Below are 16436 nucleotides of genomic sequence, written 5' to 3' on the forward strand. Positions count from 1 at the left end.
TTTATTTTATTTTTATATTATTTATTTATTCTTCGTTAGTTTGTTTTTGGAGCGTGGGTTTTGTTTTGTTTTTTGATTTTTTTCTTTTTTTCGACCTACGGATTTATTCTTATTGCCCAGGCTTGAGTGCAATGGCGTGTTCTCAGCTTACTCAACCTCCGCCTCTTGGGTTTGGGTAATTGTTGTGCCTCGGCCTCCCTCTGCCTCTTGGGCTTGGGCGATTGTTCCACCTCATCCACCCTCCACCTCTTGGGTTTGGGTGGTTTTTCCACCTCGGCCTCCTGAGTAGCTAAGGGAGGAGTCTTGAGATTATCATCCACTGAGGGTGGAAGAGGAGAGGGTGGAAGCGGGACAAAGAGACATTCCTTCAGATTATCATCCACTGAGGGTGGAAGAGGAGAGGGTGGAAGCGGGACAAAGAGACATTCCTTCAGATTATCATCCACTGAGGGTGGAAGAGGAGAGGGTGGAAGAGGAGCAAGAGGACACTCCTTGATATTATCATCCACTGAGGGTGGAAGGGGAGTGAGCAGACACTCGGGAGGTGTCTTGAGGCTCAGGGAGTTATCAGTTATAGAATGTTGTTGAGTTGGAGGAGGTGGCTGGCGGCCCATCCTGTTTTTTAAAGTTTCAGCTGTGAGGTAGAGCCAGTAGGGCAATCCTGAAGAATGACAATGCTCCGCTGCCGCCATTCTGACCTGTAGGGCCAAAGGAGGGAATGTTTTCACACATATTCATTTGATGGACAAAATTACCACCACCAACACAGTCTGCACCTTCTGTTGCTGGTGATAGATTTTTGCACCTTTCCATCCTCCAGGTTTCAAAATAGCAGTATCAGTGTCATAATATCACCCTTCCACTGAGTACTGCCGACAGCTGGGGGGTAAAGAAAAGTCATTGGGACACACTGTTGTCTCCACATGCCACTGTGTCTGTCTGCAAATGTAGGCAGGCTGGGGTCCTGCCCCAGGGAAGACAGAGTCATAACAGAGTAATAAAGAAGCATGTTTGAGACACAGGAGTGTCTATGTCTATCCTCATTCCTCCCTCACAGCCATCACCAGAGCATGTTTCTTGCACCAGGTCAACAGACAGTAAGAGACAGTAAGAGAGGCATGAAAAGCCCATTGTCCACACATGTTGCAGCTTCTTTTTGGAGAATGTTTTCCAGGCCTTTCATGTTCTGTCTCTGACTCTCAGAACTCTGCAAGGTCAGTGTGACCACCCTGCTCCAAATCTAAGAAAACAGAGGTTTCCAGAGGAAGGAGAAATTGTGCCCAGGGTCACACAGCTTGCAAGAGGCAGAGTGGAAGTTGATTCCAGCTCTGCCTGCAGGACCCTCTCATTTCCCCTCTGTTTCCCTTCTTGACAAAGGATCTTCTTCACTCTGGAGGTGCCACCCATGAGAACAAAGAGCTCTGGAGAGATGTGGATTCCTGAAGAGCTGCAGGGGAACTGGGAGAGGGTTTTCTGACAGAACAATCTCACCTCAAGAAGTCACTTAGGCATGGCTGTAATATTTCTTTTCACTCCCAGGTAATACCAAATTGTAAGTGCACTAGGACATAAAGAATACTTTTGTCCATGGAAAAATGAGGTGGGAATTCTAAACAAAGCAAGTTTTAAAACTGTGTTTCACTTCAAGTGTACAAGTCCCATCACGTGTAATCATAGGACTCGGCAGCTTTTGAAGGTACAGAGGCCACACAAGAACCAGCTTAGCTGAGCATCATTTAAGGCCTTCATTTGGAATTGTCCCTGTGGGTAATAAGTTACATTCACTCTTCACTAATTTACAGTCAGGGCCCATTTGCTATTACAAATATGGAACCTCTGACACTTTGAATTTAGATCAGGGGCCCCACTGGGTGGGGATGAAGGTGTTTTTGCACAACACGGTTACCAACAGGGATGGGACTGTGATGCCTGTAGGCAGCCTTCCTCTCTGCCATCTCCCTCTGCAGGGCTTGAGCACAGAGCTGTAGGGAGAAAAATGTATCCATGTCCTGACCTGGCAGACTATGTTCAAAAGCAAGGAAAACAAACAAACTTACCCAGTTGCAAAGAGGCTTTCTTGCAGAAGGGGGGATCTGAAAAAGCCAACACATGAGAAATTGAATGTTGAGAGAGTCTAAGAGCCGTGGCATCATCTGCATCAGCACTGAACTATCCTGCAACTGCGGGGAGGAAGCTCCTTACTTTGCATTTGTGGTAGTCCTCTGCCCGCCGCCGCAACTCTTGCGCACGTTGAAACATTTTCCTATGGATTACAATCACTTTCATCAGATAAAGCACCACGTTCAGGATGATTTTAAATAATCTGCCATGTTTCTGTTATCCTCACAACTGTACCCTTACACAATCTATCTCTACCTAGAAAACGTATTTCAGATGGCTATAAGAGTACAGTCTGAGCCGGTCACGGTGGCTGATGCCTGTAGTCCCAGCACTCTGGGAGGGCGAGGCGGATGGATCACGAGGTCAGGAGATTGAGACCATCCTGGCTAATACGGTGAAACCCCGTCTCTACTAAAAATACAAAAGATTAGCCGGGCGTGGTGGCAGGCACCTGTAATCCCAGCTACTCGGGAGGCTGAGGCAGGGGAATCACTTGAACCTGGGAGGCGGAGGTTGCAGTGAGCCAAGATCACGTCATTGCACTCCAGCCTGGGTGACACAGCGAGACGCCATCTCAGAAAAACAAAAACAAAAACAAAAACAAAAAAACTGTACGGTCTGATCCAAACTGTTGCTGTATTGATTCCTCCTCTTGCTTACTGCCTGTTGACTTCTGAGATGATAGTTTCCTTCCCCATTCTCAGTATATCCCTAATTCATCCTTCATTGAGCATCTTTTATCATAAAGCTGTATTCTCTTTGTATTAATATCCTTACCGTGTTTCACAGGGCAGAAACAGCTGGGCTTATAAACAGGCATAGTCCTTTTGAAGGATGTGGTTGATCCTACAACAACACACTTTCCTAAGGATGACAACAACTCACCCCACCCCTAGAATGGCTGGTATGAACCGAGTTTCCACACAGTCTAGCTGGTAATGGGGTCAGGAGCCGTTTTGCTACTTCACATCTTTTGGTCACTGGTAAATATTAAGGTACTTTGTTTTCTGTTTTGTGAACTCTCTCTCTCTCTCTCACGATATGTCTTCTGACCGTTTGTTTCTATTTCTGCATTTACTGGGTCTAAACATTGTACAGAGGTTAAAAACAGCACTCCAATGGGCGTTTCCCAGGAGGGTGGGGTTCAGTTTCTGAACTCACTTGTAGGTGTGTATTTCTTTCATATCCAATTTCCCATTTTCCTCTGCCTCTGATACCTGCCTCTCCTTTTCTGCGTGCTCACATTCTTTCATGCTTAGTTTCCTCAGGTTAGAAGGGAGAGAAATGCACACACATGATCCACCAGTCCATGTGGGATTCCCTCTGCCCTTCTGGCATCTGAAGGCTGTGATTCAAAGATCCCCCCTGCAACCTTCCCACAAATGAACCAACTGATTCTCACAACCGAAGGGAGAATGGACACCTCCCATTGAGGGACCAAAAAAAATCACACTCTGGCCTGCTGGCAAGTCACCTGTCATTTCCAGCTCATCTTCATAGTTCCATAGTTAGTCCTATTCTTTAGTAAATATAAAGACTATTAAAAGCTTCTATGAGGTGCACTATGTGTGTCTCTGGGGTCAGTCTTGTGCTTGACACAGCGAAAGATCATTTTAGTTCAGTGTGAAAAACCAGACCTCACCAACTCATCACAACTAACTCCATCGGAAGCAGAGGATTGCTCCTCATCTGACTCTTCCTGTGTGAGACCTGCTTCTCAGTCAGAGGCTGATGCCGGAACTGAGACCATCAGCCATAGAGAGATCCTTCCAGAATATGGTGTCATTAACCCCGCAGTTCACTACTGCACTTTGCCATGATTCAGGACTGGAACTCTTGTCATCGACTTTAAAGATCCTGGTTGAGAGAAAAGGCAATCTGAATGCTGGGCGCATCTATTGAATTAGAAATGATCGGAATGGCTCCTAAGTCAGGGTGTTATGTCCTGAAAATAGGTGACAACGGCAAACCATCCACCCTGGTGTTGACTGACTTTAACAAGGTTCACTTCACAGACATTGAGGGCAGAAAAAGGAAATGGCCTAAAAAGGGTAAGTTTGCTGTGTTGCCCTCACACCACTTGATTCATGGTCCTGATCCTAAGGATCTCACCTGATACTTGGTTTTATAGGAAGGATGTGTAAAATTCCCAGAACGCTAGGAAACAGGGGTGAAAACACTTCAAAGAGAAAGTTAATGAACTTGTTTCTGACCACAGGGCATCCTTCAGCACATGCTGTCTGGAGTGGCCTCCAACAAGGAGTGTGTGGTGTGGTGCTGAGAATGCAATGGGAGCAGGGTCCTGTCCCCACGGTAAAGAAGCTCACAGCTTAATGCAAATGAGAAGCCAGTGAGGACATCACTACTCCTGCTGTCCACTTGGGAACTAGAAACACAAAACCTGACTCTGGAGGGAAGCTAAGGAAGCATTCTACTCTTGAGTTGACATAAGTGCATCTGAAGCTTCTGATCTCCGATGAGAACAATGGGGGACACCAAACAGAATATAAAACCCATGATTGAATACATCAAATTGCTAACATGGCAGTAAACAGACATGAGGTGAAGATGGAGAAGAAGGAAACCCAGGACGAAAGTCAGCCTCGCATTTGGAACCCATTTCCCTGAGTTTCATTGCTGAATTCCAGAAGGAACTACTGAGATGCAAAGAAGCACAGCAGCTTTTGCACACATGCGTGGGATTAGATGGAAAACAAGTGGATTGAGGGTCTGCCAATGAAAGCGACCCGTACTGAAATCCACTGGCTCTGGTTGAGACCCAGAAGAGTCATGCATCAGAATAGAGGTAGACAGGAAATACCCTGGCCTTTGTAGGGACTGAGCCTGCACCGACGACCTCAATTGCAGCCTGTATGGAGGACCCGTGACCATCCCCCAGAAGTAGACTCCCATCTCTTCTGCAGCAAGATAACATGCCACTAGGCCTCAATTCATTGCTAAATATTTTTTAACAAGTATCTCACATTTAACAAAAAGAGATCAGTCATATGGCAGCAAAATACAATGTAATATGACCAAAACATGAAAGACTGTGAAAATGAATCTGGAGGTGACCCAAGCATTGAATTCAACAATCCAGGCTGGGTGCGGTGGCTCACACTGGGAGGCTGAGGTAGGCAGATCACCTGAGGTCAGGAGTTCAAGACTAGCCTGGCCAACATGGTGAACCCCTGTCTCTACTAAAAATACAAAAATTGGGCCAGGCACGGTGGCTCACGCCTGTAATCCCAGCACATTGGGAGGCCGAGGTGTGTGGATCATGATGTCCAGAGTTCTAGACCAGCTTGGCCAATATGGTGAAACCCCGCCTCTACTAAGAATACAAAAATTATCCGGGCATGGTGGCATATGCCTGTAGTCCCAGCTACTCAAGAGGCTGAGGGATAAGAATCGCTTGAACCTGGGAGGCGGAGGTTGCAGTGAGCCAAGATCATGCCACTGCACTCTAGCCTGGGTGACAGAGTGAGACTCTGTCTCAAAAAAAAAAAAAAAAAAAAAAATTGGCCGAATGTGGTGGCACACACCTGTAATCCAAGCTACTCAGGAAGCTGAGGCAGAATTGCTTCAAACTGGGAGGCAGAGGTTGCAGTGAGCCAAGATTGCACCATAGCACTCCAGCCTGGGCGACAGAGCGAGATTCTATCTCAAAATTTAAAAAAAAAAAAAAGGCTGGGTGTGGTGGCTCACGCCTCTAATCCCAGCACTTTGGGAGGCTGAGGCAGGTGGATTACCTGAGGTCAGAAGTTCGAGACCAGCCTGGACAACATGGTGAAACCCCATCTCTAGTAAAAATACAAAAATTAGCTGGGCGTGGTGGTGGGCACCTGTAATCCCAGCTACTTGGGAGGCTGAGGCAGGAGAATTGCTTGAAGTCAAAAGGCAGTGAGCTGAGATTGTGCCATTGCACTACAGCCTGGGCAACAACAGCAAAGCTCCATCTCAGGAAAAAAAAAAAAAAAGAGAGAAAGGAAAACCAATGCCAGTACTAGCAACTCCTCTTCCCCCGAAAAAATTACAAACAAGAATGTAGGAAGGGAAAGGAATTATACAGCTTAAACTAATGAAGCAGAAAGGACAAACTCAATTTTGAGCCCACTGAATTTGCCACAAATATTGTAGAAAATATTCTCAAGGACTTTACAGTTGTCTACTTTGATTGGCACATGGTTCATACAACAGTATTTGTGTCAAGGCACATCTTACTGTTTTCTGGCGGTCTTCCTCTTTCCATTGATTTTGTCATGACGGTTGATTTTCGTTGTCACCTTCCTCTTACGGATTTTAGCTCTAACTTTTGTTTCCACATGCCTCCGTAGAGTAATGACGTCTTTCAGGCCAATTTTATTTCCTCGAAAGGAAGAAACTCTTTTCTTTGTGTGCATACAAATGGACCTCAGCCCTTGGTGAGAGTGAGGAGAGGAGAAGGTGAGAAACCTGAGGTCAAGAAGCTGTTCTTTCCCTTTCCAGGGCAAACTCATTTCCACACTATGGGGACTCCAACAGAGCCATACCTTTCTGTCTACTGCGGTTGGACCTCCAGGCTCTCTGCTGTACATCCATGGATCCATCATGTCCATTTCGAGACCAGAAGATAGTCTTCAGGAAAGACACCTAGGAAATAATAATATAAGAATGACGGCTGGGCACGGTGGCTCATGCGTATAAATAATCCCAGTACTTTGGGAGGCCGAGGCAGGTGGATCACGGGGTCAGGAGTTCAAGACCAGCCTGGCCAAGATGGTGAAACCCTGTCTCTACTAAAAATACAAAAATTAGCCAGGCATGGCAGCGGGCGCCTGTAATCCAAGCTACTCGGGAGGCTGAGGCAGAGAACCGTTTGAAGCTGGGAGGCGGAGGTTGCAGTGAGCCGAGATCACACCACTGTACTCCAGCCTGAGCGACAGAATGAGACTCTGTCTCACACACACACACACACACACACACACACACACACACACACACAAGAATGACATGAGGCTGGCACGGTGGCTCACTCCTGTAATCCCAGCACTTTGGGAGGCCGAGGCAGGCGGATCACCTGAGGTCGGGAGTTTGAGACCAGCCTCACCAACATGGAGAAACGCTGTCTCTGCTAAAAATACAAAATTAGCCAGGCATGGTGGTGCATGCCTGTAGTCCCAGCTAGTCGGGAGGCTGAGGCAGGAGAATCACTTGAACCCAGCAAGAAAAGGTTGTGGTGAGCTGAGATTGTGCCATTGCACTCCAAACCTGGGCAACAAAATTGAAACTCTGTCTCAAAAAAAAAAAAAAAAAAAAAAAAATAGCCCAGGTGCGGTAGCTCACGCCTGTAATCCCAGCACTTTGGGAGGCTGAGGCGGGTGAATCACAAGGTCAAGAGATGGAGACCATCCTGGGCAACATGGTGAAACCCCGTCTCTACTAAAAATACAAAAATTAGCTGAGCATGGTGATGCACGCCTGTAGTCCCAGCTACTCGGGAGGCTGAGGCAGGAGAACTGCTTGAACCCAGGAGGCAGAGGTTGCAGTGAGCCAAGATCCCACCACTGCACTCCAGCCTGGTGACAGAGTGAGACTCCGTCTCAAAAAAAAAAAAAAAAAAAATGACATGAATATACTTCACACAACTGAACTGTACACTTCAACACGGTTAGATGGTAATTATCATCTTATAAGTATTTTACCACAGGTTAACATGTTTCACAACTTGAAAAGGAAGTAATTACCTTCAGCTCTCTGAGTTCTAGAATTTGTAACATTTCACCCCCTGCTCCTTCCTGATCTGCACTGGAGCATCTTCCTTCTGTCCCTGCTCTACTCAGAGTTCACTTTCCCTTCCCTCACATCAGCTTCATTGAGGCTGGTTTGAACTTAACGCAAAACATTCTCACTAATGACTGAATTCCCTCCAAGATTTCCATATTATCACAGTATGCTTTTAATCTTCTAAGATATTAAATATTTGTTCTCATCATAGCGAAAATGCAATGCAAATCCCATCTCAGATGTGGGTCAGATACCTATGAATGTCCTGAGGTAGTCATTGAAATGACTTTTTTCTTGAGATGGAGTGTCACTCTCAACCATGCTGAAGTGCAGTGGCACTACCTTGGCTCACGGCAACCTCCACCTCCCAGATTCAAGCGATTCTTGTGCCTCGGCCTCCCAAGTAGCTGGGATTACAGGTGCCTGCTACCATGCCTGGCTAATTTTTGTCTTTTTAGTAGAGATGGGGTTTCACCATGTTGGCCCATCTGGTCTTGAACTCCTGACCTCAAGTCATCCACCTGCCTCAGCCTCCCAAAGTGCTGGGATTACAGGCATGAGCCACCACACCTGGCCTGAAATAATATCTTTCAAATTCTTTGTAGAATTTGTTTTTTCCTGATTTCTGCACATAGGATAAAAAAAAAAAATCATGTACTAGGATTTCGAGAGAAGCAATGGGTAATCTAAAAAGATGAAAAGAGCAACCACGTCAATCCCACAGCTACTACTAGATTTCATAGGAAAGGTAGCTGGCCCAGTTTGGAGCTAGGAGAAATGTCAAACACATGAAGAAATGACAAGCAAAGAAATGCCATCACGCATGAATGCTTCATGGCACCCATGATGTCCCTGCTTAGGAGGTAATGGTATAGATGACTAGATGACAAGGACAAAGATGAGAGGTGCGAAGTTGTCCAAGTCCAGCAGCTCAACTGAACTTTCCTAAATGGAACTGTTAAAAAGTGGTAAATTTAAAAACTTCCCCTGGCTCACGTGGTGGCTCACGCTTGTAATCCCAGCACTTTGGGAGGCTGAGGCGGGTGGATCATTTGAGGTCGGGTTTTGAGACTAGCCTGGCCAACATGGTAAAACCCCGACTCTACTAAAAATACAAAAATTTGCTGGGCATGGTGGTGGGCACCTGTAATCCCAGCTACTTGAGAGGCTGAGGCAGGGGAATCGCTTGAAGCCAGGAGGTGGAGGTTGCAGTGAGCCGAGATCACACCATTATACTCCAGCCTGGGCAACAGAGGGAGACTCGTCTCGGGGGTGAGAAAAGAAAAAAAAAAAAAAAAAGCTTCCTCCAATTTATACCGAAAATTCTCTGTTCAGGACTAAGTGGCATAGAGAATGTTAAATGTGCCTAGATATCTTCATAACTCATATATTTTCTGTTTTCTACATATCTTGAAAGGCAGTGCCAAATGACGTGTAATTATCTAGGTGGTAAAACTGAAACATACTTCCTCTTCCCTTGAATATAAAAAAGCATTGTGGTATTAGTACTTTTATCTTGGATCATTGTTCAGGAGGTTCAGCCCCCAGAAAACCACATTTTTACTGTCATGAATGGCAAGACAAAATGTAGAGCTCAACTTACCCAAAGGAAAAAAGGCTCAAAAGACAAATTATGGCACAACTTAGCAGCCAAATTCTTACCAAGTACAGACTTTTGACATACTGATCTCTCTCCAGTTGCAAGTGGGAACATGCACTTTGAATGATGTCATTCAAAATTACCCTGCCCAGACACACTTTTCATTGATTCTCTTGGAGGGCAGTTCTAAGAGATTCTCTGGGGCTTTCTCTGCATCATGAGACGCAGTGCAGTTCTGCCCTTCACCTTCCGGCAGTTTGTCACCTCGTCCCTATGACCTCAGAGGAACTTTGTCTCAGGCCAATTGTTTGTTCCTTGGCCTCTTTCATTTCCCCTAAAAATCATTTGCTGCCCCTCTAAATGGCCTACATCTCCATCTATCTCCCTCTCCCCTCAGAAGAGGGTGCTCTTTAAGCATCAACCATCCGGCCCTTCTAGCAGTCTCATTTTTCAGCTGGTTCCCATGTTTATGCCTGTTCTATGTTTTTCTTTTCCTGTTAAGCTGTCTGTTGTCAGCTCATTTCTGCAGTGAATCTTCAGAGAGGAGATTGGAAGCTTTCCTTCCACCCATACGATAGAACTATAAAGCAGAAGAGTTTAGAAAGAATTTCCTATTTAAGTGACGAAACCTCATACTCCATTTGTGATAAATAGCACAAAGGCTAAAAAAACTTATTTTTGACCAAAAGCTCTGTTGACATTCTATTAAACAAACACCGACCTATTTAATTTTCATAATGTAAATGGCAGACATTTTCATAATTCTTATGCTAATAAATCATTTCCCTGATTTTTTGGGTAAAACCACATATTCATAATGAAGTCCAGAAACGTGAATTGTTTTATATAATTTATTCTTATTTGTGATTACAAGTATACCTCTACAGAAAGTTAGTATACTCACACAAAGGCAACTTGTGCAGAAGAGAACGTTAAATGTGTAACGTCTCAGAAACCCAATAATGATAATTATCAAATTATCCAATTTTTGTGGAGATGGGGTTTTGCCATGTTGGCCAGGGTGGTCTCGAACTCCTACACCAAAGTCAGTCTCACGATGACGATAGACAGCCAGACTATTGATAACCTGGAATAATAATAGTTGAAATAATGAAAAGGTCAATGACACCGACAATATTTCACTCAGAAAGAATCATCCTTAGAAACCGTCAACCTCCTCCAAAAGGTAACCACATCCCTCAGATATCACCGTGGGATTCCACTGCTACAAAAAAGAACAGAAGTTAGAAGTCTCATGTTTTTCAGATGGCTGGTAGTGTTTTTAGGCATTGCAAATGTGGGGTGTTGTCTTTCTTGGTATAAAGCAGGGATATCCAATCTTTTCACTTCCCTGCCTATATTAAAAGAAACAAAGTTGTCTTGAGCCACACATAACATACACTAACACTAACAATAGCTGATGATCTAAAAAAAAACTCTTTTTTTTTTTTTTTTGGAGACAGAGTTCCGCTCCACTCAGTCGCCCAGGCTGGAGTGCAGTGGTGCAATCTCGGCTCACTGCAACCTCCAGCTCCTGGGCTCAAGCCATTCTCCTCCCTCAGCCTCCCGAGTAGCTGAGATTACAGGTCTCTGCCACCATGCCCGACTCATTTTTGTATTTTTAGTAGAGATGAGGTTTCACCATGTTGGCCAGTCTGGCCTTGAACTCCTGGCAGGCGATCTGCCTGCCTCGGCCTCCCAAAGTGCTGGGATTACAGGTGTGAGCCACCGTGCCCAGCCATTTTTTTTTGTTTTTGTTTTTGTTTGGTGTTTTGTTTTTGAGATGGGGTCTCACTCTGTCACCCAGGCTGGAGTGCAGTGGCGTGCTCTCGGCTCACTGCAACCTCTGCCTCTCAGGTTCAAGTGATTCTCCTGCCTCAGCCTCCTGAGTAGCTGGGAGTACAGGTGCCTGACAATGCACTCAGCAAATTTTTGTATTTTTTGTGGAGATGGGATTTTGCCATGTTGGCCAGGGTGGTCTCGAACTCCTGACCTCAGGTAATCTGCCCGCCTCAGCCTCCCAAAGTGCTGGGATTACAGGCATGAGCCACTGTACCTGGCCAAAATCTCCTAATGTTTTAAGAAAGTTTACAAATTTGTGTTGAACTGCATTCAAAACTGTCCTGGGCCACATGCAGCCCGTCACTCATGGCTAAGACAAGCTAAGTATAAAGTAATTATCTTTTCTTTTTGTTTGGAGACAAAGTCTTGCTCTGTCACCCAGGCTAGATTGCAGTGGCATGATCTCAGCTCACTGCAACCTCCGCCTCCCGGGTTCAAGCGATTCTCCTGCCTCAGCTACTGAGTAACTGGGATTACAGGCGCCTGCCACCGCACTCGGCTAATTTTTGTATTTTGAGTAGAAACAGGGTTTCACCATCTTGGCCAGGCTGGTCTCCAACTCGTGACCTCTTGATCCACCTGCCTCGGCCTCCCAAAGTGCTGGGAATACAGGTGTGAGCCACTGCACCTGGCCAGTAGTTATCTTTTCTTTAAAGTTATTTACTTGTTTTTTAAATTGATGTATAACATTGGATGCATTTATTATATATCACATGGTAAAAGAATCCCTCTAAATAATACTTCTCTCTTGGATTATATGAATCTTTGTCATTTGAAGCTCAGCATAAGTAAAAAAAAAAAATACAATGAAGAGATTACTTCATTCACAAATAAGTATCAAATTTTAGTGCTTAAAAATTAACAAGGTGGGCCGGGTGTGGTGGCTCACGCCTGCAATCTCAGCACTTTGGGAAGCCGAGGTGGGTGGACCACGAGATCAGGAGATTGAGACCATCCTAGCTAACACGGTGAAACCCATCTCTACTAAAATTACAAAAAATTAGCAGGGCATGGTGGCACGTGCCTACAGTTCCAGCTACTTGGGAGGCTGAGGCAGAAGAATCACTTGAACCCAGGAGGCAGAGGTTGCAGTGAGCCGAGATCGCACCACTGCACTTCAGCCTGGGTGACAGAGTGAGACTCTGTCTCAAAAAAAAAAAAAAAAAAAAAAAATTACCAAGGTGGAGATCATGAAAATGGCATGAATAGTGTGGGATTTCTCTAAGATTGTTGATATTAATTCCAGTAGACTCTTATGTGAGTGAAGACGAAGACTTCCCCTGAGTAAGTTCAGACAGCTTGTGATAACATTTCTACATCGATTCCTCAGGATTTAACTATATATTCTTGAAAACATCTCAATTTTAAATGTTTCTTTCAAGATGGTGAATTAAACAGAGATAGCCCTTCAACAGGTTGAACTCAGCATATGCTGAGTCTGAAATGGAAATGATGGAGTTAGAGAACCATACAACAATGGTAATGATTTCAGAAACATGGTGTTGAGCAGAACAAAGCAGACACAAAAGAGTACCTATGGCATGGCACGCATCTGTATACGCGAAATTCCAGAATAAGCAAGCTAACCTATGATAAGAAAGAGACTGGCTGGGAAGACTGAGAGTTCACTTTCTGGGGTGACATAATAGTGTAGATCTTGGCTGGGCACGGTGGTTCACGCCTGTAATCCCAACACTTTGGGAGGCCGAGGCGGGCGGATCACCTGAGGTCGGGAGTTCAAAACCAGCCTGACCAACATGGAGAAACCCTATCTCTACTAAAAATACAAAATTAGCTGGGAGTGGTGGCACATGTCTGTAATCCCAGCCACCCGGGAGGCTGAGGCAGGAGAATCGCTCAAACCTGGGAAGCAGAGGTTGCGGTGAGCTGATATTGCCCCATTGCACTCCAGCCTGGGCAACAAGGGAGAAACTGTCTCAAAAAAATAAATAAATAAATAAAATAATGTAGATCTTGAAAGGGGGTCGGTTTATGCTGGTGTATGTACTTTCCAAAGTTAGTAAACTTACACTTAAGGTTATATATTTTGGCCAGGCGCGGTGGCTCACGCCTGTAATCCCGGCACTGGGAGGCCGAGGCAGGCGGATCACGAGGTCAAGAGATGGAGACTATCCTGGCGAACATGGTGAAACCCCGTCTCTACTAAAAATACAAAAATTAGCCAGGCGTTGTAATCTGAGCTACTCAGGAGGCTGAGGCAGGACAATTGCTTGAACCCCGGAAGCGGAGGTTGCAGTGAGCCGAGATCTTGCCACTGCACTCCAGCCTGGGCGACAGAGTGAGACTCTGTCTAAAAAAAAAAAAAAAAAAGTCATCAAACCAGATGACACAAATCAAATGACATTTCACTTTGTTTTGGTCCATTTTGTTTGTTAGAGACAAGAGTGCAGCGGGGCCATCTCAGCTCACTGCAACGTCCAGCTCCTCGGCCCAAGCGATCCTCCCACCTCAGCCTCTCCAGTAACTGGGATAACAGGTACGCACCACCAGGCCCGACTAATCTTTTTTGGAATTTTTTGTAGAGATGGGGTTTCGCCATGATGCCCTGGCTAGTCTTCAACTCCTGGACTCAAGTGATCTGCCCACCTCGGCCCCCTAAAGTGCTGGGATTACAGGCCTGAGCTGTGTAATTTCATGCCGCGTGACACAGCCCAGTAAAAAGGAAGAAACCCCGCGGGTCCAGCGTCTACTCACAGGGGTGGGCTGATGGCTGATAAATCCCAGCAGGAGCCAAATGAGGAGCCAAAAGCGCAGCCGCATGTCCTGATCCTTTCAGGGTGCCCTGAGGCGGCCAGGACAGAGGTGGAGGTGGCTTAGGGCAGGGGGGAGGGAAGGGGACGGGGACCGGGGCCGGATCTGAGTTGGGGCGGGGGAGGGGAGGGGGAGGGGAAGGGGAGGGGGAGGGGAAGGGGAGGGGGAGGGGAAGGGGAAGGGGAGGGGAAGGGGAGGGGAGGGGGAGGGGAAGGGGAGGGGAAGGGGGGAAGTAAGGGAAGGGAAAGGAGGAGAAGGGGGCTGTTGGGCACCTGGAGGAGGTGGAGGAGGAGAAGAAGAAAGGGGTCTGGGAAAGGATCCGGTTCAAATTAAGTTCTCAAGCGCTGGTGGAAGGTTTAGCTACAGGTCACGGAGAAGATCAGGGAAGCAACAGGACACGCGGGGCAAGGGAGCGTGAGGCTTAGGAGCAATTAGAGGGAGACAAAAAGGTTCTGCTATCCGCCAAACCTTCTTCGGTCTGGGCCCTCCCTTAGCAAACCTGGGGCTTTATACTCCCTCTCCACCAATCCCTGATGACCCCGGTGGTGCCTCACAATGGACAATGCCAAGTAGCGCCCGCATCATTCCAATGACCCCTCCCCCATCTCAGTCTCCCACACTCCTCGCAAGGACAGGTCCTCTCTGGAACCTTCACAAACCTGATTTCTGGTCCTCCCCAACCAGCTCCCTGTCCCTGCTTCTGGGCGCTCCTTCCTTCCTGAGCTCCCAGGGTTCCTCAAGGTCACTTTTGGCGACAAAACATAAAAAACAAATGATGGCAGGATGGCAGGAAGAACCTCATACCCAAGCAGAGTGCCAGGTTTTACAGCCTCCGCTCAGCCATTCATATCCTAAGCAACAAAACATCAGCAGGATGCGGAAGGTCCCGATAGTAAACCATCTCCATCACATCCATGTAGCCATCCGTCCATCAACCCGTATCTCAGGAACAAATGTAGATACATTCATTTTAAGCAAGCATGGTACATTTACAAAAATTAACCTGACTTATTTTGTTCCAGCAAATCTCAATATATTTGAGAGCAATCAAATCACACAGCACGTTTCTGATCATATAACTGTGCTAGAAGTCAATGATTAAAAGCTAATTCAAAATTATTATTTGCTTGGAAATTCAAAGTGCCCTTATAAGACATAAACATAAGAAAGAATCCAAAATGAAACAAGATTGCCTTTCAACTCAATGATAAGATCATAACATGGCAATAAAATGTCTCCCTCTGGCCTGGGAATTCCTCTTTGTGGCACAAGGTTGTGTGATCTCAAATCACCCCTAACCCACCTAGACAATTTAACATCCGAAACCGAGTGATGATGTCCTTATCTATAATCATCTTACTGCCTGTGTGTGTGGACTTTAAATTCTGAACCCAAATGAGGGGGAGAAAACCAAGTTGACCTTCATGATTGACCTCTCAGGGATGTCCAAGGAATCTGTGCATGGTGGCACCTGCCTGTAGTCCCAGATACTTGGTAGGCTGAGGCAGGAGAATCACTTGAACCTGGAAGATGGAGTTTGCAGTGAGCTGAGATAGTGCCACTGCACTCCAGTCTGAGCAACAGAGCGAGACTCCGTCTCCAAAAAAAAAAAGTTGGAGGATTCACATTTCCTATTTTCAAAAGCTCACTACAAAGCTATAGTAATTAAGACAGTGTTGTATTGGTGTAAGAATAAACCTGGGTCTGGTGCAGTGGCCCACGCCTGTAATCCCAGTATCTCTGGAGGTCAAGGTGGGCAGATCATTTGAGCTGAGGAGTTTGAGACCAGACTGGGCAACATAGTGAGACACCGTCTCTACCAAAAAAATGTACAAAAGGTAGCTGGGTGTGGTGGCTAATTGGGAGGCTGAGGCAGAGGAGCCCAGGAGTTCAAGGTTACGGTGAGCTATGATCACGCCACTTCACTCCATCCTGGGTGACAAAAACCCTGTCTCTAAACAAAATAAAAAATAAAAGTAAAAATAAAGTTAGCAGTTAGGGTCTACTATGTTAACTTTTTTCTGCACAGACTGCTGTATCACACCACCTGCAAAAAAGTTAATTCAAAATGAAAACAAGATCTAAATGTAAGAGCTAAAACTATAAAACTCTTAGAAGAAAATGTAGGAGGCTGGGCGCGCTGGTTCACGCCTGTAATCCCAGCACTTTGGGAGGCCGAGGTGGGCGGATCACTTGAGGTCAGGAGTTTGAGGCCAGCCTGGCCAACACGGTGAAACCCCGCCTCTATTAAAAATATAAAAAATTAGCTGGGTGTGGTGGCACACCCTTGTAATCCCCGCTACTCAGGAGGCTGAGGCAGGAGAATCGCTTGAAC

General features: G+C 46.0%; 2 protein-coding genes across 2 annotated transcripts in view; both read right to left on the reverse strand.

The window, feature by feature from the left end:
* On the reverse strand, positions 1–16008 carry NPIPB7 (nuclear pore complex interacting protein family member B7). Its single transcript, NM_001396030.1, has 7 exons — positions 14045–16008; positions 10392–10574; positions 6654–6753; positions 6346–6541; positions 2203–2263; positions 2058–2093; positions 1–698 (listed from the first exon to the last, which is right to left on the reverse strand). Exons 1-7 carry the CDS (start codon positions 14108–14110, stop codon positions 96–98), a joined length of 1245 nt encoding a protein of 414 aa, NP_001382959.1. The 5' UTR covers positions 14111–16008; the 3' UTR covers positions 1–95.
* Positions 10325–16436, reverse strand: part of CLN3 (CLN3 lysosomal/endosomal transmembrane protein, battenin) — a 25430-nt gene continuing 19318 nt past the window's right edge. The window contains exon 14 of the mRNA NM_001286109.2: positions 10325–10574. The gene's annotated coding sequence lies outside the window, so the exon portion shown is untranslated. The remainder of the gene's footprint in view (positions 10575–16436) is intronic.

Source organism: Homo sapiens, chromosome 16 (assembly GCF_000001405.40).
Source record: "Homo sapiens chromosome 16, GRCh38.p14 Primary Assembly".
NCBI classification, from domain to species: Eukaryota; Metazoa; Chordata; class Mammalia; order Primates; family Hominidae; genus Homo; species Homo sapiens.

Bases quoted from the DNA above. Each gene is read 5' to 3' on its own strand.
- NPIPB7 (NM_001396030.1), bottom strand. From the start codon at position 14,110: ATGCGGCTGCGCTTTTGGCTCCTCATTTGGCTCCTGCTGGGATTTATC. The intron at 6,542-6,653 runs GTATGGCTCTGT...ACTCTCACCAAG, and splicing joins CAACCGCAGTAGACAGAAAG to GGCTGAGGTCCATTTGTATG. The intron at 2,264-6,345 runs GTAAGATGTGCC...TGTAATCCATAG, and splicing joins AGGAAGACCGCCAGAAAACA to GAAAATGTTTCAACGTGCGC.